This window comes from Homo sapiens, chromosome 7, assembly GCF_000001405.40.
Source record: "Homo sapiens chromosome 7, GRCh38.p14 Primary Assembly".
In the NCBI taxonomy this organism is placed as follows: domain Eukaryota; kingdom Metazoa; phylum Chordata; class Mammalia; order Primates; family Hominidae; genus Homo; species Homo sapiens.
The window spans coordinates 83,991,666-84,018,118 of record NC_000007.14 but is presented as its reverse complement, the minus strand read 5'-3'; the positions used below and the strand labels follow the sequence as shown (position 1 = coordinate 84,018,118).

Genomic DNA, 26,453 nt, shown 5'->3' with positions numbered 1-26,453 from the left:
TTGTCGATTTGACGAAGAGCAGGGTGCTTTAAAACAGTTGTTGATAATAAATCTATAGTGATCTTATAAGAAAATAAAACAATTTCTTAGCAACACTAGGGTTCTTGTTTAGGAAAAATAGCTTCAATTTATAGCAGATATATTTACTATGAGTACATGGGGTTTTAAACCCTTGCTTAAATGTAAGGACAAAGGGAAAAAAATCTGGGGATTTATAAAGCTGGTACAGTGGAGATTCCAGCAGCCAAGAAATCCTAGATAATAGGGAAGACAGTTGGAATGACTGATTTGAAGGTTCGGATTGAATAAAGAGGTGATTCATCAGTGAGGGGATGAATACACTTAGAGAATAAGAAAGAGGGCTAAGAGGACAAAACATAAAAAGGAAGGGGAAGGCAACGTTTGTGGGACTGAAGAAGTAGAAAATGTGTGGTGAGCAGAGGTTTTGGCCAAAAAGCAGATTTTCTAAATGTGAAACATTAGAAGAATGGCTCCTTTTAAATTGTTGGAAGAGATCAGCTAAAATCAAGGCCTGTTTTATTTGGAAATGGGAATGATTGTTTTTCAAGTCTGAGATATAACCTAAATTTCTTGAACACAAGTTGTGTTAAATTGACAATGTTTTTCTTGGATATTCTCATTTTCTGTGTTAATGAATTTGGTTTTCATTTTCTGTGCATACTTCTATTTTTTGGCTGTACCTGAAACTAGATGAGATTGTTAATTCACATGCAAAAATCCCCACATCTGTAGTTATCATATATTGAAGAAGACACTAAGATTGAAGGTCCTTTCAGCAATGAATATACTTGATAATTTGATTGAGTTATTTCCCACTAGAGTCCACATTTGTAAGATAATAATTATCCTCACATATTTTAGAGAGGTCAGTGCAGTGCTCAATGACACCTTCACTCATGCCCAAACACCAAGAGAACATAAGAATCTATACATGTAAAATATTGTTTTCTTTGTTGTCATTTTCATGCTTTTAACATTGCTTTTGTTAGACTGTGGCTTTCTGAGAACAAGGATTATATATTATGGATACTCTTTTCTACATGGCGTCTTGCACATATTTGTGATCTAATAAAAGGCAACTGAATGTAATTGCTTAGAGTTCTTTAAGTTATTCAAGTGTTTGTATGAACAACTACACTAATTTGGGAGGTAATAGTAGACCAACTTCTCCCTCCATTGTTCCAGTATTAAAGCAGAAGAATGTATGATTGTTTTCATTTTTATTCTGCAGTTGGATTATAATATCCTCAAACTTACCATGTGATGGAGGCTTCCTTTTAGTATCATCATAACGATGTTAATATAGTATATTTGTTAACATTTTACAAATTTGTTTCACATGTCTTAGGCTTAAAATATTTGTTTTTATATGAACTATTTATGACAGACAAGGTGAATAGATCTCAGTTTGAAGTAACTCGATTTGAAATAAACATAATTTGAAAAGTATGCATCTGAGCTCAGAGACGGAAGAGTCTTGTTAAAGGACACAGAAGCTACAAGTGACTAAATTAAATCACTGCACACACAGGTTTCTTTTTTTTTCTTTTTTTTTTTTTTGAGACAGAGTCTCGCTCTGTCGCCCAGGCTGGAGTGCAGTGGCGCGATCTCGGCTCACTGCAAGCTCCGCCTCCCGGGTTAATGCCATTCTCCTGCCTCAGCCTCCCAAGTAGCTGGGACTACAGGAGCCCGCCACCACGCTCGGCTAATTTTTGTATTTTTAGTAGAGACAGGCTTTCACCGTGTTAGCCAGGATGGTCTCGATCTCCTGACCTTGTGATCCACCCGCCTCAGCCTCCCAAAGTGCAGGGATTACAGGCGTGAGCCACCGTGCCCGGCCAGGTTTCTGTTACATATGTGCTCACACACAAACATACACACACACATTTCTGGAGCCTAACTTTACCAATGTGATAGTAATTCTTTAGTTTGTGACAGTAATTCCTAACATGTCACATTAATTATTCTGCTCACCACCCATCATAAGAATACATACTCCTCACTATATATGCATATTTACATATATAATATATATATATGAATGTGAACAAGTAGAAATTTTTGAACAAAAGAAAGCTTTGCAACAGTTATCCAGGTTAGAGTATTGTATTATTGTATGGATCTTTTAAAAAAGCTGGTGCTAAGCAATTCTACTTTAAAACTATTATTCTCCTACTCTTGTTCACTGGCACACTGAGCTTTAAATATGAACAGGTAATATTTCATGTTTCATGTTATTTCCAGAATCTGTATAATTTCCCTGAAAAGGATAGTAAAGTGTGGCCTTGTGAAATATACTTGAATGCATGGTCCCAGAGCAAATGTTAAAAGGTTACACGCATAGGACAAATGATAATGATTATTCACAGGTGTAAAGATCAGGACTAAATAACTTGGATTATATGTGGATAAAGCTAGTTTCAAGTTCTGATCTCTTCCTGGTCTCTTAAGAATGGTGCTGACCTGTACGTGTATATTTCATTGTTACCTGGATAAAATAATACACTAAGGGATAAAGGTAGATTATTGTAAGAATATAAATGTCTGCAGTATCCTAAGTGCCTTCAGTGAGGTACACTTAGCTTCGTTGCACATAGCATCTTAAAGCTATGAAGCTATTACATATTTTATATAGTTTGTGAGGCACAGGCATATCAACCCAGGAACGTTCAAAAATACTGTTTGAAGTGGAGCTCTAAATATTGCTGATATACATTCTGTGTAACCTAGACAGTCCCCTCCCCTCACCATTTTTCTTTTCTTTTCTCATTGCACAGATATTCATGACTGCCTATCACGTTTTAAGCTCTAGGTTCACCGCATCAACAAAAAATACAACAAATACTTATTCTCATGGAACGTATATTTCACTGGGGTGGCAGGGGAGACAGACAATAAGCAAAGGAAGATTAGATAGATAAATGGAGAGATTAATCAATAAATTGTTTAGGATATGTATCATACCAGACAATAAATCCAATTGAGAGTTTGGAGAAGGAGTGAGAGAGCGGAGGTTCATTCTGGCTGTCGTGTGGAGACAAGGGTTGGTAAGGTAGAAACTAAGAAACTAGTTAGGAATCTATTTTAATAATTCAGATTGGCAATAGTTTCCTGAAGGAAGGTGGTATTGAAGAATGTGGTAAGAAATCATGATAAATAAGGATATGCTGATAGATAGAATGTTGGGTGTGAGAGAAAGGGAGAATTCAAGGGTGGCCAGGGTTTTTTCCTGTGTATCTAGTGGAATGACACTGCCATTTACAGGAAAGGGGAATGACAGGAGAGGATTTATTTTGTTTTATACGGATTTCACTTTTCCCTGCCCACCTAGTCTTTGCTGAAAACTGAAATAGACCAATTAATATTTTGATTTAAATTCTTATGCTTAAAAGAAAGAATAACAATGGTGACAGCAATAAGTAATATTTGATAGTACTTATAGTTTGCAAAATATTTTAATATCCAGTAACGCATCTGCAATGTATGATCACCCTAAAGATTTCTTTCTGCACCTACTCCTAACCTTCAGAACAAAATGAATACATTTTTCTAGAGATATAAGGTATTTTGTAAGATACTTTATAATGCATAAAGAACAATTAATATGTACCTACAAAATGAACAAACGAAAGATACGTTTCTTGAAATATATCAATTAAGAGTTAAAAAAAGTAAAAATGGACTGTTCAGAATGGTATTATTTATTAAGCTGTGAATTAATATATACGCTATTATTTGTCTCTCAGATCCAAAGTTCATTAGTGCCCACCTCATCTCAGAGAGTGACAATCCTGAAGATGACAAAGTATACTTTTTCTTCCGTGAAAATGCAATAGATGGAGAACACTCTGGAAAAGCTACTCACGCTAGAATAGGTCAGATATGCAAGGTGAGGTAAAGAAAAAAAAACTGAGAAGGATGTCATTTTCCCATAACAGCTTTGCTTTTTAAAATTTTCTACCTGTGTGCATATACAATAAAAATTATGGCTAAAGCTTGACTCACATAACAAATAAATGGTAAATAATGATTGAATATTATAGTTGGTTATGAGTAACTCTTCGCAGTCAAATATACAGGTACAGGTTGTGAGGTAACTGGCATTATTTCACAATTACATTACGTAATATTTGTTTGAAATTCTACAGTAACAAAATGGTTTTATTTTACCTGGGAGAAGGTAATTTATGTTTTTTCAGTCCTAGCACAGTTTTCTATACCTTGTAAGTTTTTAAGTTTTGGTTTTGTTTTGAGACAGAGTCTTGCTCTGCCCCCTAGGCTGGAGTGTAGTGATGCAATCTCAGCTCACTGCAAACTCCGCCTCCCTGGTTCAAGTGATTCTCCCGCTTCAGCCTCCCAAGTAGCTGGGATTACAGGCACCTGCCATCATGGCTAGCTAAGTTTTGTATTTTTAGTAGAGACGGGGTTTCATCATGTTGGCCAGGCTGGTCTTGAACTCCTGATCTCTGGTGATTTGGCCCCCGAAAGGGCTGGGATTACAGGCGTGAACCACTGCACCCGGCCTACCTTGCAAGTTTTGAATAAATATTTGTTGTTGGAAGATGTGAAGTATTCATTTAAGAGAGAAAAACATGAAAGCTCGTTTTTACAAACTGATTGTAGCATCCTATGCACACATATACACACACACACAAACACCCACACAAAAACAATTTTGAAGCTGTGAGCTTTAACTATCTGAGGTATTTCACTTATTGTGTGGCATAATGTCAAATGTAATATTGCATTATACTGTTAGATACATAGAATAAAAATTGTTCAATAAACACTTATAGATTATTAATTAGTATCATCAGTGTGAAAATATAATAGTTCCATTTGTTTCCCTCTACGGTGCCTAGTGCAGTATTCCTGCAATATGAAAAAGTTAACTCTTAGTACATATTAAAGCACCCTTCAAATAAAGAAAATCATAAGCCCACATTCAATGATTGTCTTAAAATTGAATTCTATCTTTTGAAGAAAGCATCCTGAAATTTAAAAAATCTGTTTCTTTCTATGTGTGACCCGTTACCCCAATATGATCTAATTATTACCTCTACTATATTCAATTACTGAAAAATTAAAAGTTTTCAATACTTGAAAACATATAAATAACATGTGAAGTAGATGAGACTTTTTTCTCCACAAAATACATGTCATATTTAAAAGCACTACTTTCAAGGCTTAAAAAAAATCTCTAAGGTGTTTAAAAGTATATAAATAAAATATAAATCAGTTTTACTTTAAAGGAACATGTGCTCTCAATATATGTACATAAATATCATTTGTGAAAACTATAGTTTCTAGTAAACACATACCTCAATAGTAGAATTTATTACTTTGCTTAGGTTAAATCAGTTTTCTTCAAGGTGAGATTTTCAAAATGTGTTCTCTGGAATGAGTTTCCTTTATTAACGGTTATTCAAATATTTTCTCAACGTGTTGTTTGTAAAATATAAATTGCTTCAACTCCTTCAGCTTATAAAATATTTGATGCTAGCGTGCTTTTGTTTGAGATCTATTTTTTGTATGTGTATTTAAGGCATATATTTATCATCCATTCATTAAATACTCACTGAATGCCTACTGTGTACAAGCACTGGCTGTGAACAAGCCTATGTAGGTTAGATCTCTATGAATAGTAGGTAGGAGAGAGAGCATTATACTAAAACAAAACGAATCCATTCATTGCAGAGTAGAAAGGAAGTTTAAGTGATTTTTAAAGATTCTATCAATCATTTATTTTAATAGACAGTAAGAATTGTATATATTTACTGTGTGCAACATGATGTTTTAAAATGTGAAATGGCTAGATCCTGCTAATTAATATGCATTATCTCACATACTTATAATTCTTCGTGGCGAGAAGACTTAAAATCTACTCTTTTCACAATTTTCAGTAATATAATTCATTTTTATTAATTAAAGTCATGGTGTTGTACAATAGATCTCTTAAACTCATTTCTCCTAAGTGAAATTTTATATCTTGGACCAAATCTCTTCATCCCTCCCCCAAAGGCCCTGGTAACCACCATTCTACTCTCTGCATCTGTGAGTTCAGCTTCTTATATTCCACATATAAGTGAGGTCACGAGGTATTTGTCTTTCCGTGCTTGTCTTATTTCTGTTAACATAATGTCCCCCGGTTTATTCATGTTGTCTCAAATGACAAGATTTCCTTCTTCTTGATTTTTGCTTTTAAACTGTAAATTGACAATTATGATTATATAAATTTATGAGTACAAAACAATGTTGATTTTTGAATATAATGTGTAATAATTAAATCAACTAATTAACACACCCATCACCTCAAATACTTATTTTTTGTGGTGACAGCATTTGAAATTTACTATGATTTTGAAATGTATAATACATTATTATTTATGATACCACATTGTGCAACATATCTCAAAGAAAAAACTGTTTTTTCCTCTTATCTAATTGATTTCCTTTTTCTTAAGGCTGAATTGTAGACCATTGTGTAAATGGACCACAATTTCTTTATCCATTGATCTGTAGATGAACATGAATTGACTTTATAAGTAATCCCTTGAATAAATAAAGGGACTACTCACAATAAATATCCCTTAAAAAGTCAAAAAAGCTTGAGGGAACGATTCGACCACAAATGTAACAATAAGTGATAGTTACCTATATCTGGTCATTTAAAATGATTAGGAACTTTTAAAACATGAGAAACTGTATTTTATGTTTGTCTGAAGATATGAAGAAAATAGAAATGTTTCAAATTATCATTTTCATTAACAGTGCCTAACACTGGTGTTCCCTTCTTTCAGAATGACTTTGGAGGGCACAGAAGTCTGGTGAATAAATGGACAACATTCCTCAAAGCTCGTCTGATTTGCTCAGTGCCAGGTCCAAATGGCATTGACACTCATTTTGATGAACTGCGTAAGAAGCTAGTGTTTATGTATAGAGAATATTTGTTCAGACTTTGCCATTCCATAAAAAAGCAACTTTCTCCAATTTTGTTTTTAAACAGAGGATGTATTCCTAATGAACTTTAAAGATCCTAAAAATCCAGTTGTATATGGAGTGTTTACGACTTCCAGGTAAGTAACTTTTTAACTACCTTATAGAAACTTAATGTTATTTAGGTGCTATCCAAGTACTCATAATTTGCAAAAGTATATTTTTGAAAGGCAAGTGTTGCTTTAACCTTTGAGCTGTTGTGTACTCTTGGGTGACTGAAAGAAGTTATGATCTACGTAGATGTTTGTTTTCTAAATCAATTTTAGAAAAAATCATCATTGTAATGATGTGAATATGTAATAAACAGTTTGAAATGTTCATGTCATCTTATGCATATCTTTGACTTTAAACCTTTTACATTATTATAATAATGTAAAATATTATACAGATGGAAGTCTGAGTTTTGGGAAGAGTTTGTAGGGATATAAATTAAGGATGGAAAAATTAATTTAAAATTTGTTGAAAATATAATGGAAAAAGTTCTCTGTCTCTTGATCTCTGTCACTTTAGTCAATTGCTAATGAATGAGATCAGAGAAAAGCCCATCAGCAATTCCACTGAAAGTCCTATCTTTGCCCAGATGATTAGCATGGGAATCTGGGGACAAAATACATCTGGAAATGTCAAAACAGTCCATGGTTCTTCCCAGTATCTCTATTCCACAGATGGGATATTTGCTACACTTTTCTGCATTCTTTAAACCTTTAAACCTAGAACTAAACTAGAAATGTGTATGTTTGGAGAAAGTTGATTGTTTACAAAAGAAATGTTTTAATTGCTTTTAGGTAATTTAAAAAATTATTAATACAATCATCGCTTCTCAACCTTTTAGCTAAGATTGTGTGAAAAGTTATTAATATAACAATTGAAGACACTTTACATAGTGTAAATAGTTTTAAAGCTTTTTAAGTCAGTAAATAGATTCTCTTTGTAAAAAAATCTACTTTTTTTTCCCTGAGGCTCCATTTAGTTTTTTATTATCTACCTTGTAACCCAGATTTTAAAATAATCATGTAAAAAGACATAAACAAAATAAACAAAAACCTTCAGCATTACAGCACTAGGGTTACATTATAATCACATAAAAAGACATAATAAAAACAAAAGTCTTCACCATTACAGCACATAATAAAAACAAACAAAAACTTTCAGCATTACAACATTATGACTGGGTTTTTTTTTTTTTTTTTTTTTTTGTAACCAGTGTCAAACTCAAACTTAATTTCCTTGTCTTTTTATCCCTGCCCTGCTTTTCCTGCTCTTTCTCCACGGGCTCCTTCCCTTCTTCCTTCCCCTTCTACTTCCTCTCTTTCTCTCTCTTCCTCTTGCCTCCTTCCCTCTTTCCTCATCCTTCTCCTTTTCCTATTTCTCATCCTCCCTAAGTCTCTCGCTGTCAATTAAGCAGAGATTATTTCCCTCTAGACTATTACATTCAGTATAAAGTTCACATTACCTGGGGTTGTTGAAAGAAACACATGTACATTTACATGCATATAAAGAAGGATATGCATTGGGATATGGATGAAATGTTAAAAGAAAAATAATTAAAAATCGAAAGTCAGGAAAAGTACTGCAAGTAACTTTGATAGCAAAGAAAATGATTAACTGCAATGTCCAACACTGTTTTATTCTGTAACTATTAAAGCCATTACAAATTGCTTGGATGTTTTTACTCAATAATTTTTTAAAATCACATAAAAATTAAGGAATCCATATTCCTAAAACTATTTGCAGTTCTGCATACCTAAATAATATTTCTTCCCTTTGGAAAAAAAGAAAACCAGAATGACTAAGCTATAGAACTTGAGAGACTCAGACAAATATGAATCCATTTCTTCTGTTTACTCATTGCTTAGTGCAGTGACTCAAATTTGAGTGTGCATCAGAATCTCCTAGACAGCATGATAAAATTCAGATTCCTAGGCCTTGCCTCCAGAGTTTCTGGCTCAATAGAAATTAAATGGGACCTAAGAATATGCAGTTCAAACAAGTACCCAGGTGATGCCCATGTTGTTTGTCTAGGGACCACCTTTTGAGAGCTAGAGATAAAATAATTTCACCTCTTTATGTCAATAGAATGGATATTTGTATGTGAGTCCTAATAGCTACCTATCATACTCCTTAAGTATTTCGATGATAGCTGACTTAATCAAAGATAAGCAAAGAATAATGGAAAGGGGATAGATAACCCAAACATTACAAAGTGTGATGTATCAAGTATGCACTAATTTGCTATTTGTTCTGCTATGAAAATGTTATTAAATTCTGTAAGTATTTATTAAGGTTTACTCTCTGAAATGCCATGTGATATATGTAATTGATGTAGCCGAAAAGAAGCCAGGCATGGTCTCTTCCCTCATGAAACTTGCAGTCTATGAATCGCTGTCTATATGCAGTAGTTTCCAATAACAAACTATTGCAAGCACATGTTGTTCATTTGGTCTGATTTATATGTAATTTTCAAGGGGGAAGTTTGTTTAAAAGATAAGCATTCCATATTTTAAATGTGCAGAACTGTTTAATATCTTTGTATAAATACATTACTCAAGCCACATTTCTATAAGCCTAATAAAATGGAATTTCTTTTTCTTTCTTTTTTTTTTTTTTTTTTGAGACGGAGTCTTGTTCTGTAGCCCAGGCTGGAGTGCAGTGGCACGATCTAGGCTCACTGCAAGCTCTACCTCGCCGGCTCACACCATTCTCCTTCCTCAGCCTCCCGAGTAGCTGGGACTACAGCCACCCGCCACCACACCTGGCTAATTTTTTGTATTTTTAGTAGAGACGGGGTTTCACCGTGTTAGCCAGGATGGTCTCGATCTCTTGACCTTGTGATCCGCCCGCCTTGGCCTCCCAAAGTGCCGGTATTACAGGCTTGAGCCACCGCGCCCTGCCATAAAATGGAAAATTGTGGCAATTCAGTGGCTTACTTCCAGTCTATCTGATTTTTTGTTTAGCGAACAAAATTTTTGTTTAGTGAAATGATGAGTATAATTGCTGTAATTCTCCACTTTAACTGAGTGAAATAGCTACTAACGTAATTATTTTCTGTGTTAGAAAGAGCTGATTTTAAGTGTCTTCACAAGAATCAACTTCTACTTGATCTAATACTTTTGGGAATTTAAAAATAATATAATGTGGCACATCATTTGACACGATCTTTTGTACTAGTTTCAGCCTACAAAGTGAGTTCTTAAACATTCTTGCTAATTTAAAAGTTTCCTGGTTTCAGTAATAATGCTTGAGACTTAACCAACATTTTAAAAAATTTCCCCACGATATTAAAATTACATATTCATTTATAGTTTATATGTATTTGTTTTTCCTATCAAAACTTAGTACTCTATGTTTCATATGAAGGCGTATATTCCATGAGTACTGAAGCCATTTTCACCTATGCCTTCTATTTTTAAGAAATCACAATTTTTTGTTCTTTTGTGTATTGTTAAATGCATACATGTGACTAGAAAAATCCCAAACATTATTGCTAAGAATTTATATTCATATTTTAATAAATCATATCTAAAATGTAAGAACTCAGTATCAATATTTCTCTTACCATTGTATAAAGATGAACTTCTGTTTTTATTCTTGCTGTCTTGTTCAGTAACATTTTCAAGGGATCAGCCGTGTGTATGTATAGCATGAGTGATGTGAGAAGGGTGTTCCTTGGTCCATATGCCCACAGGGATGGACCCAACTATCAATGGGTGCCTTATCAAGGAAGAGTCCCCTATCCACGGCCAGGAACTGTAAGTAGCTTAGGTGTTTAAAATATGAAATGAATATATTTCTGCCAAAGGTCAAAAAACAATGCAGCTACAGACAGATATTAAATGTATCCTGTAATGTAGAAAAAAGATTTCAAGATTATAAATTAAAGCAAGACAAAGATTTTCCATGATTGAATGAAATTTCACATTTAAAAACATGTTCTTTACAGATGTCAGTTCTTAAATTCAGTATAAGATATAAATCTAAAATTATTAAATCTTATTTTAATTTTTGACCACACATTTCTAAATTTTTGCAAACTATTTTTACATGGTAGTAGAGAAGTGCAGAAATAATTTTCAATCTCATGAAAATACATTTTATTGTGTCTTCCAGGTTTTTACATAAATATTTGATATTTCTATAACCTTAATTTTATAATTTACATACAAAACAAGAAATACAACCTTACATTCCTTAACTGTTATATTGTTGTATTATTGTGTATGTATATACACATACATAGACATATATATGTGTGTATTTATATATACTCATCCCATTTCAAAACACATTCATTTTATTTCTCATGAATTATTAATATTTTTCAAGCTAGTGGCAAAGAAAATTGATTTCTCATTCTAAGCTTCTTGTAAGATCAAGAATCTCTCATAATTACATTTTAGCTCCCAAGCTTTTACATTAAATGGTAGAAATTATTTAAGTGTAAGACTAAAAGCAAGAGATTGGAGATATTGTACTCTATAAATGCTTGCACTGCATCAATAAATATAGTGAAAGGAGACGGTGAAATCTTAATTTGTCATTTTTGTTGTATTGTCTTACATGGAGTGTTTACATCCAGAGGTGAGGTTATGCCAGTGCAAAACCATGCATCTTTCTGGCTGCTGGGGCCATTATCTCTTCTGCTTGGTCATGATGGGCATTCTGATTGGTCTTTTTGTGCAGTGCAGGTTGCTAAACACTTTGAATAACACTTTTCCTTAACTCTGGGATTATTTTATTTATTACATATCTCAATGGTACTTTTTTAGCATTATGTTAGAAACAAAACAATAAAGAATAGTTTATATTGTTTTTCAGTTTGAAAAGAGAATTTGTATTTTAGCATGATGCCATAGTAAAAAATTAAATGTATTCAATAAAATTATTCTGAGCATCTCTAATCCAAAGAAAGATTAATTGCATTTAGTTGTAGTATATTCCATTCATTATGTCAAATACTTCACTTATTTTACTAATAACACTCATGCTTGTGGTGCTAATAGAGGCACCAAACTTCTCCAGTACACTGAATTCATTACATGCATTTGTAATTTTGCCTAAGAATTAGTGACATAACTAAATCTCACTGAGAATTAAGATATATTTGGGAAATATATACTATATATTGCACTACTTTTTTCCTTTATTTTATTTTTGAGACAGATTCTTGTTCTATTGCTTAGGCTACAGTGCAGTGGCATGATCTCAGTTCACTGCAACCTCCACCTCCCAGGTTCAAGCAATTCTCCTACCTCAGCCTCCCAAGTAGCTGGGACTACAGGCATGCACCATCACGCCCAGCTAATTTTTGTATTTTTAGTAGAGATGGGGTTTCACCATGTTGGGCCAGGCTGGTCTGCAACTCCTGGCCTCAAGTGATCCACCCGCATCGGCCTCTCAAAGTGCTAGGATTAGAGGTGTGAGCTACCATACCTGGCCTGCACTACTATTTTAAGTAGAACCATTGAGGCCATGTGTTATTATATAATTTATAATTATGTTTATTAGATTTTAATCAAAAGATAATTTTCTCTTTATCTTAATAGTGTCCCAGCAAAACATTTGGTGGTTTTGACTCTACAAAGGACCTTCCTGATGATGTTATAACCTTTGCAAGAAGTCATCCAGCCATGTACAATCCAGTGTTTCCTATGAACAATCGCCCAATAGTGATCAAAACGGATGTAAATTATCAATTTACACAAATTGTCGTAGACCGAGTGGATGCAGAAGATGGACAGTATGATGTTATGTTTATCGGAACAGGTAAATTTTTAAATTTCAGCTGTAAACTTTTTTCCGAACACTATGTTTAACTGATTAAGTTGATCTTTGAACATCTCAGGGGTTGGGATGCCAACCCTCTGTGCAGTTGAAAATCCACATATAACTAACTTTTGATTTCCCCAAAACTTAACTACTAATAGCCTACTGTTGACTGGAAGCCTTACCTATAAGATAAACAGTTGATTAGCTTCATATGTTGTATGCCATATGTATTAGATATTGTATTCCTACAATAAAACAAGCTAGAGAAAAGGAAGTGTTCTGAAAATTATAGGGAAGAGAAAATATATTTAATGTTCATTAAGTGGAACTGGATCACCCTTGTCTTCCTGTTGAGTAGGCTACAGAGAAGGAAGAGTAAGAGTTGACATTGCTCTCCCAAGGGTGGTAGGAGCAGATGAAGATTTGTATATAAGTGGACCCACACAGTTCAAACCCATGTTGTTCAAGGGTCAAATGTATACTAAGAACTGAGGCCAGTTTCTATCGTTACTTTCAAGGTATAATTCACCTTTAATAAATGACTAAATAACATGAATATTCTTCCATTACAAATTTATTATCTTTTCTGACAAGTTGAGACATACTAATTTAAAATAAATTCCCTTTTCTGTGACAAGTAGATAAGTTTAATCAGGTAAAGCTAATGATTAGGTAAGCAATCAGTGTTTATAATTGCATCATAACTTTTCTGGCCAGTGGCTTTTTAGAACAAAGATATATTACTCAAATCCTGCCTTAAATTCCCAAGACATTCAATAATAGTTCCAGAATATTAGTACAAAATTATCTGAACTTTAAAATTACAATAAGGTGAACATCATCTAGTAAATAAATGTTAGCAATAAAATTTTTTCAGTGTTTCTGTCATACAATGAAAAGAAAAAAAATTCATTAGAAAAACAACATAATTGATTCAAGTAATTCTTAGATACATTTCTATGGACATTTAACAATTCACTTTTACTAATTCCATAATTAGAAACAGACTTTTTCAGGTATATTTTCAGAATGAATTCCATTGTTATTATGATATATTATTTTATTTTTTCCCAGCTCTTTTTAATAGTAATATTATTTTTGAAAGTCCCGGTTACAAATCTGATACTTGCTACTTAGGGTCAGATTCCAAGGTAATAAATTTCTAGTCTCCATTAACGCTGTTAACTGACATAAATCAATGGGAAACAGAGTGAGTGCTCCACTGAAACCTTGTATAACAACATTTATTTTCCCTTAGTGAGAAACAGAAAAAAAATTGCATTAACTACAGGAGAATGGCAACCATATAGTAACTGCTTTAAAGACTTAAAGTTTTATAACAAAATTGTGAAATACTTATGTTATCAGGTGTAACAGTGTCAGGTTCTGAGTAATATATTAAAGTCTACTTTTATGAGTGAGAAAGTTTCTCTACCAAATAAAAGAATCCAAAGCAGACCCAGGGTTTCATAAAGGCAATGAATTGCAAGTATCAATTTCTGGTTATAAATATCCTTAGAACATATAAGAAATAGTATTTCTCTTGGGTAAATATTAGTTTATCATTTAACATCAAATTATAATTGAATTTCTTTGCAGAGGAATTAAGTTTGTTCAGTCATGTCACACTTGCCTTTTTCTTCACCTCTGGCTTAAATGTATTGAGAAGTCTCTCACTCACTGTCAAAGCAACAAAGCTTGCTTCTGGGTATTTGACCAAATAAACTTAATCATGAGCTTTTAATTCCTCTTGGACACAATCTGTCTTTAAAGGCACCAATTTCATGAGTGTGTTGAATGTCTGATGATGTGGATGGCTATTGGTCAGTACAGACCAAGGTCATCTGTCAGCAAAGTAAACTGATTACAGTAATTTTATCTTTTAACTAAGTTGCACATCATAGTATATTGATCCTAGTTGAGTAATCTGATTCAATTTGTGTGAAATTGTTTGAAATACTACTCAGTAAAACTTGATCTGGAAAAGAGATAAAGTTGTGTTTGGGTACCGGAGACATGATCAGAAGCACTGAGTAGATTAACCTAATTTACCTTTAATCTTTAGTGTTATGAGTAGTCTAAGGTCCTGTAAATACAGAAGGGTCTTCTTAAAAGTGTACTTTTTTTGGTTTAACTTTACAAGGGATAAATTAGCAACCTTTCTTGATCTCATATAACATATCATGTTGGTTCTCCAAAAACAGTTATCGATGAATTATTTTTCTCATATAATTTATTCTTTGTTGACAAGATTTTCTTCACAATAACTTTGTTGAACTTGATTAAAAGGAACCAGTTGAAGCTAACTAGATTTGATCAAGTTTAGTCAGAACTAGAAGGTTGAAGAGTAAAAGTTTTGAATTTAATAAGCCCCTGTTCCTCATTCCATCAAGGAATAGGAACATATCTGTAATACTGGAAAATTAATAACTTTTAAGCCCAACTTAGAGTAAGAGTGACAACTCTTGTCATTAAAACAAGTTGTCTCTTTTAACAATGCAAATTAGAAAAACAAATAAGGTTTGAAATCTCTATAAAATGCATTCAATATTTTTATGCTTTTGGCTTCTGAATGTTAAATTTCCTTAATTCTCTAAAATGGATTAATCAAAGTGTACATTTTTGAAAAACCACAGTAATAAGCAATTCTAGGTGTTTACTTTGAGAAATCGGGTTATTGTCATTCATCACATAATGGCCATTGAGCCATCATTAGGAACTTCTAAGTGCTAAAGACTTTTAGATGACAAGAAGAGCAGCCAGGACTCTGAAGCTCTGACTACTTCCCTTGCTTGACAACATTCCTTGCATTTTTCATTTATATTTAGTCTTCATAGTAGTACCCTGATTTTGTAATAAAAGTGGAAGAACCTGTCGTGACAAACTGACGTTATTTTTAGGTTTTGTTTCTGAGATACCAGGCAATTAAGGAGATATTTTTAGAAATAATGAAAAGAATTGATCCAATCCAGGCAATCTCTGTAATAATTATTATATTTTAAAAAATGTATGCAGTCTCATGATAAAACCTTCTTCAAGGCTAAACATATTTCTAAAAATTCAATCTTTTATTATTCCAAGATTGTGTTTATAGTTTACCTTTACACTTTGTCTAATTGCATGAAATGCATTTGAATATATATTTTACTCATGTTTTGACCAAAAAATGAATTAAAAGGAAGACCGATATCAAAGGTTCTTTGTCTGACAAATACATATTTCATTCATTAACACTAATCTCTGTTCAGATCTACTTAACTTGTGGTCTTCTCCCCACTTTCTTTCAAAGATGTTGGGACCGTTCTTAAAGTAGTTTCAATTCCTAAGGAGACTTGGTATGATTTAGAAGAGGTTCTGCTGGAAGAAATGACAGTTTTTCGGGTGAGTGCTGCTTAATTTCAAGTGTCAACAAGTTCAGTTGTACGTCTTTCCCCCAGGACAGCTGCACACTGAACTTGGTATGGACAAGTAGTCTAGCATACATACCCTTCTAATTAGCTTGTCAATTAGAAAGCCAGACACTAGTCAAAATAAACCTTGAAACTTTCAATGCTAGTTAAATCTAAAGATGTAAAGAAATGTATTTTTGGCTCATATTTTGTTTTCTCAATGATAAAATATATTATTTACATTTTATATTACATTTTATATTATTTAAGTTACCTCAATGAACAAACTCTTCCCCACTCCTAAAATCTATTTTACACATGATAGTATAACTGAAATGATATGTAACTTCCATGAATGTACTAAAGGAAATATATTCGGAATGACAGAATACTGAAGACATTTCAGTCAATTTTTAGCTTACGTATGAATTATTTCATATTTTCTTAAAGAAATCATTTGTTAGCAAAAAAAAATTTGAGAGGTTTGTATCACTGACAGTAAATTTGTTATAGATTCCTAGTCTACATGCTTAAGAAATGTACATATATTTGTCCCTTTATCCTGAATCACAGATGGCCCAGGGGGATTTGTATAGGGTTGGAGGAATGGGGGTACGGGTGAGAGGGGGGTTGGGTGGAAGCAGCAGGACATGGGGTGAAGGGAAAGAGGAGAACTAAAGTAGTCTAACATATACCATGTGTCTGTTGTTCCTTTTGGGAAGTCAGCTAATAGAAATAGTTTAAATTAAAGCACACCTTGAAATGATTAATGACATATGACAGAAAAATACATGCCTGTAAATGTGTTATTTGAATTTTTTGATAAAAGAATAGAGCAAACATCTATTGAGATATTTATAACTGCAAAAAAAAAAAACACGTATTAGAAGAAGTTGGTAGACAGAAAAATGAGAAAATATTGCATCTAGTCTGACAACTTCAAGTGATCTCATTTAGTCTTCAGGTGTCTGTGGTAGTTTACCTATAAAATGAATAGGCTGGATTCAAATTTTCAGTTGATTCAATATTTTAATGGTAAGCAGTTTTCCCAAGATGTCTTACCCCAACAATTTCATACCTATATACAATGTTATTCCTCACTCTTCAGTAGTATTTTAAAGAAAAAATGAGGTATAATATGGAAAGCTCCTAATATATATTCATTCAATTGGCATTATAATTAACATTGAAACATACAACTGGTGAATTGTAGCATAGATGTTTTGTAATAACAAACTACACAGTGTTCTACTGGAAAGGGTTTAGACTCTACAGTCATAGCTACATGACAAATCCATTTGGAACACTTAAACCATCCCTCTGAGCTCCACCATCAGTAAAACAATGAGCATAATACCTATTTCACCAGGATAATGGAAGAATTAGAAACACTATCAGTAATGCATCAAAGACAGTAACGAGTACTTAGCTCAAAATGTCATTGTTAATATAATTTTATTATTTTAGTTTAGCTAAACTGAAAATGAGCTACATTCCCAGTAGCCTTTCCTATTAATCCTTGGTTTAAGTCTTCAAGATAATAAAATAATCATAATTCTATTATGATTTTTAAAATCAGGCACATTAGCCTTATTTGTTTATAATAATTTGTATGCTAAAGTATCAATGTGATCTAATTTATCAGTCTGGTATAGAGTGATGACTAATCCTTATCAATCACCATGTCCCATAGATTACCCCAATGAACAAACACATTGGTACTTTATCTTAGAAGTTAAAAACAACAACAGCTAACAACTGTCCAAATGGACTCTGTTGGCCACTATAGAGTATGTATGTTTAGATTTAGAAAACTATACAGGCACTCAGGGGTGGATAAATTGCCATATTGTCTTTATTGTTATATCGCCAAAACCTAAAATGTCTTTTAAACCAACATGTATTAAATGAGTGAATGAATTAGTATTGATGAAAAAATGAAATAAATACAAGAAATTAAAGAATTTAAGGCCTTCCTCAAGGAGACCATGCATAAAGTGAGGTGCCCCAGTATGAGAAAGATAAACTAGGAACAGTCACAAGTTATCATCCTGATTCTGCACCATATTATTCTCCAGTAGAAAACCTTTACCAACGTATATTTGGAGACTAATTTTGCCACTACTGTTGCAAATGAAGTTACAGGAGACACTAAAATATTGTTATCTTAAGAATTTCTAATTTCCAGAGTCTCTTACTTCTGTATTTGTCATGGTTCCTTTGCATATTTCCTTTCAGTTATAATACATTTTTAAAACAGGGTTCATTAACTAATTTCCACTGTAAATAAATGTATATTAGTAGATATGATAGTCCTGGCACAATGCTAAATTCTGGTGATACAGAGATGAACACTATAAAAATGGTCTGTGACTTCATGCAGCTCAAAGACTCTGATGTGTTATCCATCTCAGTTTCTAGGACTTAATTTTCTACCTATTAATACAATTACATTTTATTTTGTAGAATTGTATCATATCACGACATTGTAAAAATAAGGTTTTTATTATTTAATTATTTTCTGATATGAATTAGAATGTGCATAATTTTGCATTTATATTGTGTTTTCGTGAATTTTTATTATTTATATCTCCAGGGATTTTAAGTTTATATTTCACATCTTAGCTATGTTGTTTAGTACATTAATAAGGATTTTAACTTAAAAAGATGTCAATTTAAACTGACCTACTAAATAACTTTTAACAAAATTATGAGACTTTGGAAACCAACAATCTTGCGAGTATAGTCATGCGCTGCATAACAACATTATGGACAAGAATAAATCCCACATATGACAGTGGTCCCATAAGATTATAATGGGCCTAAAATTTCCTATTGCCTAACATTTTCAATACTTCACTTTCTGTTGTTATTTTACATTGTACTCCTTCTACTTATAAAAAATTACTTATAAAACATCCTCTGGCAGATCCTTCAGGAGGTATTCCAGAAGGTAGCATTGTTATCATAGGAGATAATGTGTTATCTCCTATAATATAGAGATATCAAATATATGTGCTGTTGACCCTGAAGTCCTTCCAGTAGGACAAGATGTGGAGGTGAAAGACACAGATATTGATGATCCTTACCCTGTGTAGGCCTAGGCTAGTGTATGTTTTTGTGTCTTCATTTTTAACAAAAGGAGTTTAAAAAGTGAAATAATAATAACAAATTTTAAAAATAATAATAATTTATCAAACAAGAATGTAAGGAAAGAAAACATGTTGGGACAGGTGTACAATATGTGTTTTAAGCTAAATGTTTTTACAAAAGCATCAAAAAGTTTTAAAAATTCAATAGTTTATATTGTAAAGTACTTGCAGAAAGCTAACATTAATGTATTACTGAAGAAAGAAAAATACTTTAAAAAAAATTAGTGTAGCCTAAGTGTATGGCGACTATAAAGTCTGCAGTAGTGTATAGCAATGTCCTAGGCCTTCACATTCACTCACCACTCACTGACTGACTTGACCAAAGCAACTGCCAGTCCTGCAAGCTCCATTCATGATAAATGCCCTACACAGGTGTACCATTTAAAAATCTTTTCTACCATACTTTTATTGTACCTTTTCTATGTTTAGATACGTTTAGATACACAAATACTTACTATTGTGTTATCATTGCCTAAAATATTCAGTACAGTAGCATGCTATACAGGTTCGTATCCTAGGAGCAACAGACTATCATCTAGCCTAGGTAGTAGGTAAGTGTACTTTATGATTTTTCGCACAATGACAAAATCACATAATGATGCATTTCTCAGAATGTATCTCTGTCATCAACCCATACATGACAGTACAAGTACTTAATATCTATTAGATTTTTTTTTTTAGCATTTTGCAGTTTCCAGAGAAATACATAACCGACTTATACCTGTGATAGCTATTAGATGACATTTGTGTAGCATTTAAGATATTGTGCAGTGGCTCACACCTGTAATTCCAGCACTTTGGGAGGCCGAGGCATGCGAATCACGAGGTCAAGAGTTCGAGACCAGCCTGGCCAAGATGGTGAAACCCCGTCTCTACTAAAAATGCAAAAAATTACCTGGGTGTAGTGGCAGGTGCCTGTAATCCCAGCTCCTCAGGAAACTAAGGCACAATAATCACTTGAACCCAGGAGATGGAGGTTGCAGTGAGCCAAGATTGCGCCACTGCACTCCAGCCCTGATGATGGAGACTCCCTCTCAAAAAAAAAAAAAAGAAAAATTTCATTATCAATCTGTAACAATTAAATGTAAATTAATAATACTATGCTGGCATGGAAATGCTTGTTTAGGACTTTACAATTTTGGAAAAAGATTGTTTGTGAGTGAACAATATTCCTTTGATAGAAAACTATTTCAGTTCTCCTCCATATTCTCTGCTATGCATTATTGTCATTATTATTTCTTTGGCACTCAAGTAGACAAAACATATTTGGGCAGAGTTTAGAGAAATATTTACTTTCAACATTCTATTCTATCAGGCAAAGTTCATACATATATTGTGGTCTAGCAATTGGAATATTTCACTGTCAAACTTTGTTTAATTTTACAGTGGGAAGGAAAAAAACCCACAACACATTAAAGCCATAGCTATATACAGTGAAATAAGCAGAGAAATTTTACAGTTTCTTTGTTTCTATTCGAGCCATGTAAGTCAATCCATTTAAAATAAAATACTATAAAAAAGGTCAGGGATAGTTTGACAAGGTAAATAGAAAAGGTAAAGATTTAGGGTCATGGTAGTATCTGATATTCTTGGATTTTATTAAAGACATTTAATGTTACCCAACCAGTTAGTTTTACCATATTATCATCTTCATGAGGCCATGTTCATTATGTGTCCTTGACAGAATGAATAACCAAACCTCATATAAATACATGAATTAAAACCAGTGCTACACCCATTTCTATCTTGAGGTTGGTTTCATAAGAACACCCTGACTAATCATACACATTCCAGTGGTTTCAGTTACATCCAATATACTTTTATTTGGGATGAAATCAAATCTCGATCAGAGTATAGAAAGAAAAATATTGCTTAGTAATAAAAATTTTCATTTTAGAGTAAAATTTTTAATAGGTAATAAGAGGTGAAATAAAACTGGCATTGGTACAGGACTCTAGAAATGTCTTTGATTTGCTATAAAATACCCCAAATTTGACATTAAAGTACTAAGAAACAAGCCTAATTCCAAAAATGATTTGCAATCATAAACCTGAACTTCAATTGTATTTATTATGTGATTCTCAACACGTTAGTTAAAGTCAATTGAGCCTCAATTTCCTCTTCTCACAGTAAAGACTGTGATTATAAATACTTTTAAAAAGTGTTTTGTTTTAAAATTAAGATTACTAGTAAAGGCTGGGCGTGGTGGCTCACACCTCTAATCCCAGCACTTTGGGAGGCCCAGGTAGGTGGATCACGAAGTCAGGAGTTTGAGACCAGCCTGACCAACATAATGAAACCCCGTCTCTACTAACAATACAAAAATTAGCCTGGCGTGGTGGCACATGCCTGTAATCCCAGCTACTCAGGAGGCTGAGGCAGGAGAATCGCTTGAACCTGGGAAGTGGAGGTTTCAGTGGGCTGAGATCACACCACTGCACTCCAGCCTGAGCGACAGAGGGAGACTACATCTCAAAAAAAAAAAAAAAAAAAAGATTACTAGTAAATGGTAGCTGTTGTTAACTAGTTATACAAATGAAAATCTCTTTTAAAAATGCTTGAAAATTCCATACATGTACCTTGTTTTATAAAAATACTCAGAAGATATAAAAGCCTAACTTATGCTGATTTTTATTTTAACTAGTCAGTTTGGGATTTTCTTTCCAGTACAATCAAAGATGGTTTAGTTTTGAGACTGAAATGCTACAACAAGTTGCAGTGCTCTTAGGACAGTGGGCTTTATTTATAGTTCTATTGAATGTAAGGAATTGCAAGGCAGTTACGTTGATAACACATGTATTTTAAACCCAATTTATGCAGTATTCCATGAACAGCTGAGCAGACAAATGAAAGAGTTTAATTTTTGTTCAAATGAAAACATAATTGATACTTTCCTAACCTAGTCTATAAACTCATTCTAAAAAAGTGTCCTTGTGTTTAGCCTCCAATAGGCTATGTCAGAATCTCCTGAGATCAGCAGGTTGAAAAGCTTTGCAAGTGAGAAAGTTTAATAAGGACTAAAGTATCTGAAAAAAATTGTAAATTGGAACATAGAAAGCCTTGAAAAGATGCTGTTTTAATTTTATTTTTACTCGAACACCAATTAAATGCAACTGAAACCAGTTTCATGAAAACATGCTTATAAAGCCATATCTGTTTTAAATGGAAGTCATATTCACTACCTGCTATTTCTCAGAAAAAAATCCCCGTAGCTTATTTAAATGAATGTCATCATAATATATTGTCTATTAATATTCAACCACAGGCAGCATATAGTGCATCTTATTCCAAACTGTTATTAATTTCCTGGTCTAAATAATAAATAAGTTTCCTTTAATTAATGGATTCTAGGATCTTAAGAATATTAAAATCTTAATATGACACAGTGGAGCCTGTTATGTACTAGGGTTTCTTTTATGTTTCACCATTCATATATGAAATAATTTTTATTGGGGGGAGGAGCCAAGATGGCCAAATAGGAACAGCTTCGGTCTACAGCTCCCAGAGTGAGCGACGCAGAAGACAGTGATTTCTGCATTTCCATCTGAGGTACCGGGTTCATCTCACTAGGGAGTGCCAGACAGTGGGTGCAGGTCAGTGGGTGAGCGCACCGTGCGCGAGCCGAAGCAGGGTGAGGCATTGCCTCACTTGGGAAGCGCAAGGGGTCAGGGAGTTCCTTTTCCGAGTCAAAGAAAGGGGTGACGGATGGCACCTGGAAAATCGGGTCACTCCCACCTGAATACTGCACTTTTCCGACGGGCTTAAAAAACGGCGCACCAAGAGATTATATCCCGCACATGGCTCGGAGGGTCCTGTGCCCATGGAGTCTCGCTGATTGCTAGCACAGCAGTCTGAGATCAAACTGCAAGGCGGCAGCTAGGCTGGGGGAGGGGTGCCCGCCATTGCCCAGGCTTGATTAGGTAAACAAAGCAGCCGGGAAGTTCCAACTGGGTGGAGCCCACCACAGCTCAAGGAGGCCTGCCTGCCTCTGTAGGCTCCACCTCTGGGGGCAGGGCACAGACAAACAAAAAGACAGCAGTAACCTCTGCAGACTTAAATGGCCCTGTCTGACAGCTTTGAAGAGAGCAGTGGTTCTCCCAGCACGCAGCTGGAGATCTGAGAACGGGCAGACTGCCTCCTCAAGTGGGTCCCTGACCCCTGATCCCGGAGCAGCCTAACTGGGAGGCACCCCCCAGCAGGGGCACACTAACACCTCACACGGCAGGGTATTCCAACAGACCTGCAGCTGAGGGTCCTGTCTGTTAGAAGGAAAACTAACAAACAGAAAGGACATCCAGACCAAAAACCCATCTGTACATCACCATCATCAAAGACCAAAAGTAGATAAAACCACAAAGATGGGGAAAAAACAGAGCAGAAAAACTGGAAACTCTAAAAAGCAGAGCACCTCTCCTCCTCCCAAGGAACGCAGTTCCTCACCAGCAACGGAACAAAGCTGGATGGAGAATGACTTTGATGAGCTGAGAGAAGAAGGCTTCAGACGATCAAATTACTCTGAGCTACGGGAGGACATTCAAACCAAAGGCAAAGAAGTTGAAAACTTTGCAAAAAATTTAGAAGAATGTATAACTAGAATAACCAATACAGAGAAGTGCTTAAAGGAGCTGATGGAGCTGAAAACCAAGGCTCGAGAACTACATGAAGAATGCAGAAGCCTCAGGAGCCGATGCAATCAACTGGAAGAAAGGGTATCAGCGATGGAAGATGAAATGAATGAAATGAGGCGAGAAGGGAAGTTTAGAGAAAAAAGAATAAAAAGAAATGAGCAAAGCCTCCAAGAAATATGGGACTATGTGAAAAGACCAAATCTACGTCTGATTGGTGTACCTGAAAGTGATGGGGAGAATGGAACCAAGTTGGAAAACACTCTGCAGGATATTATCCAGGAGAACTTCCCCAATCTAGCAAGGCAAGCCAACGTTCAGATTCAGGAAATATAAAGAATGCCACAAAGATACTCCTCGAGAAGAGCAACTCCAAGACACATAATTGTCAGATTCACCAAAGTTGAAATGAAGGAAAAAATATTAAGGGCAGCCAGAGAGAAAGGTCGGGTTACCCTCAAAGGGAAGCCGATCAGACTAACAGCAGATCTCTCAGCAGAAACCCTACAAGCCAGAAGAGAGTGGGGGCCAATATTCAACATTCTTAAAGAAAAGAATTTTCAACCCAGAATTTCATATCCAGCCAAAGTAAGCTTCATAAGCGAAGGAGAAATAAAATACTTTACAGACAAGCAAATGCTGAGAGATTTTGTCACCACCAGGCCTGCCCTAAAAGAGCTCCTGAAGGAAGCACTAAACATGGAAAGGAAAAACCGGTACCAGCCACTGCAAAATCATGCCAAAATGTAAACACCATCAAGACTAGGAAGAAACTGCATCAACTAACGAGCAAAATAACCAGGTAACATCATAATGACAGGATCAAATTCACACATAACAATATTAACTTTAAATGTAAATGGACTAAATGCTCCAATTAAAAGACACAGACTGGCAAATTGGATAGAGTCAAGAGCCATCAGTGTGCTGTATTCAGGACACCCATCTCACGTGCAGAGACACACATACGCTCAAAATAAAAGGATGGAGGAAGATCTACCAAGCAAATGGAAAACAAAAAAAGGCAGGGGTTGCAATCCTAGTCTCTGATAAAACAGACTTGAAACCAACAAAGATCAAAAGAGACAAAGAAGGCCATTACATAATGGTAAAGGGATCAATTCAACAAGAAGAGCTAACTATCCTAAATATATATGCACCCAATACAGGAGCACCCAGATTCATAAAGCAAGTCCTGAGTGACTACAAAGAGACTTAGACTCCCACACATTAGTAATGGGAGACTTTAACACCCCAGTGTCAACATTAGACAGATCAACGAGACTGAAAGTCAACAAGGATACCCAGGAATTGAACTCAGCTCTGCACCAAGCGGACCTAATAGACATCTACAGAACTCTCCACCCCAAATCAACAGAATATACACTTTTTCGGCACCACACCACATCTATTCCAAAATTGACCACATACTTGGAAGGGAAGCTCTCCTCAGCAAATGTAAAAGAACAGAAATTATAACAAACTATCTCTCAGACCACAGTGCAATCAAACTAGAACTCAGGATTAAGAATCTCACTCAAAACCACTCAACTACATGGAAACTGAACAACCTGCTCCTGAGTGACTACTGGGTACATAAGGAAATGAAGGCAGACATAAAGATGTTCTTTGAAACCAACAACAACAAAGACACAACATACCAGAATCTCTGGGACGCATTCAAAGCAGTGTGTAGAGGGAAATTTATAGCACTAAATGCCCACAAGAGAAAGCAGGAAAGATCCAAAATTGACACCCTAACATCACAATTAAAAGAACTAGAAAAGCAAGAGCAAACACATTCAAAAGCTAGCAGAAGGCAAGAAATAACTAAAATCAGAGCAGAACTGAAGGAAATAGAGACACAAAAAACCCTTCAAAAAATGAATGAATCCAGGAGCTGGTTTTTTGAAAGGATCAACAAAATTGATAGACCGCTAGCAAGACTAATAAAGAAAAAAAGAGAAGAATCAAATAGACACAATAAAAAATGATAAAGGGGATATCACCACCAATCCCACAGAAATACAAACTACCATCAGAGAATACTACAAACACCTCTACGCAAATAAACTAGAAAATCTAGAAGAAATGGATAAATTCCTCGACACATACACTCTCCCAAGACTAAACCAGGAAGAAGTTGAATCTCTGAATAGACCAATAACAGGATCTGAAATTGTGGCAATAATCAATAGCTTACCAACCAAAAAGAGTCCAGGACCAGATGGATTCACAGCCGAATTCTAACAGAGGTACAAGGAGGAACTGGTACCATTCCTTCTGAAACTATTCCAATCAATAGAAAAAGAGGGAATCCTCCCTAACTCATTTTATGAGGCCAGCATCATTCTGATACCAAAGCCAGGCAGAGACACAACCAAAAAAGAGAATTTTAGACCAATATCCTTGATGAACATTGATGCAAAAATCCTCAATAAAATACTGGCAAACCGAATCCAGCAGCACATCAAAAAGCTTATCCACCATGAACAAGTGGGCTT

The 26,453-nt window shown here is 34.5% G+C and overlaps 1 protein-coding gene across 3 annotated transcripts in view, besides 4 other annotated features; it reads left to right on the top strand.

Moving 5' to 3' along the window:
* The window catches only part of SEMA3A (semaphorin 3A), a 536,949-nt gene that overhangs the window by 474,607 nt on the left and 35,889 nt on the right, over positions 1-26,453 (top strand). For all 3 annotated transcript variants that reach the window (XM_005250110.4, XM_047419751.1, NM_006080.3), the window contains 6 exons: positions 3,768-3,910; positions 6,822-6,936; positions 7,028-7,097; positions 10,622-10,766; positions 12,561-12,780; positions 16,073-16,164. In XM_005250110.4, coding sequence (XP_005250167.1) covers positions 3,768-3,910; positions 6,822-6,936; positions 7,028-7,097; positions 10,622-10,766; positions 12,561-12,780; positions 16,073-16,164 — 785 coding nt within the window. The remainder of the gene's footprint in view (positions 1-3,767; positions 3,911-6,821; positions 6,937-7,027; positions 7,098-10,621; positions 10,767-12,560; positions 12,781-16,072; positions 16,165-26,453) is intronic.
* Positions 4,189-4,288: an enhancer, noted in NCBI's record as "active region_26218". NCBI's record gives its function as "activates an Ori minimal core promoter by ATAC-STARR-seq in GM12878 lymphoblastoid cells {active_cell/tissue: GM12878}" and the evidence as "EXISTENCE:reporter gene assay evidence [ECO:0000049][PMID:35858748]".
* Positions 15,246-15,809: an enhancer, noted in NCBI's record as "OCT4-NANOG hESC enhancer chr7:83631626-83632189 (GRCh37/hg19 assembly coordinates)". NCBI's record gives its function as "activates a minimal SCP1, AML or CMV promoter by ChIP-STARR-seq in primed H9 embryonic stem cells {active_cell/tissue: H9 hESC(primed)}" and the evidence as "EXISTENCE:reporter gene assay evidence [ECO:0000049][PMID:30033119]".
* Positions 22,472-23,032: an enhancer, noted in NCBI's record as "H3K27ac-H3K4me1 hESC enhancer chr7:83624403-83624963 (GRCh37/hg19 assembly coordinates)". NCBI's record gives its function as "activates a minimal SCP1, AML or CMV promoter by ChIP-STARR-seq in primed H9 embryonic stem cells {active_cell/tissue: H9 hESC(primed)}" and the evidence as "EXISTENCE:reporter gene assay evidence [ECO:0000049][PMID:30033119]".
* Positions 23,033-23,594: an enhancer, noted in NCBI's record as "OCT4-NANOG-H3K27ac-H3K4me1 hESC enhancer chr7:83623841-83624402 (GRCh37/hg19 assembly coordinates)". NCBI's record gives its function as "activates a minimal SCP1, AML or CMV promoter by ChIP-STARR-seq in naive and primed H9 embryonic stem cells {active_cell/tissue: H9 hESC(naive and primed)}" and the evidence as "EXISTENCE:reporter gene assay evidence [ECO:0000049][PMID:30033119]".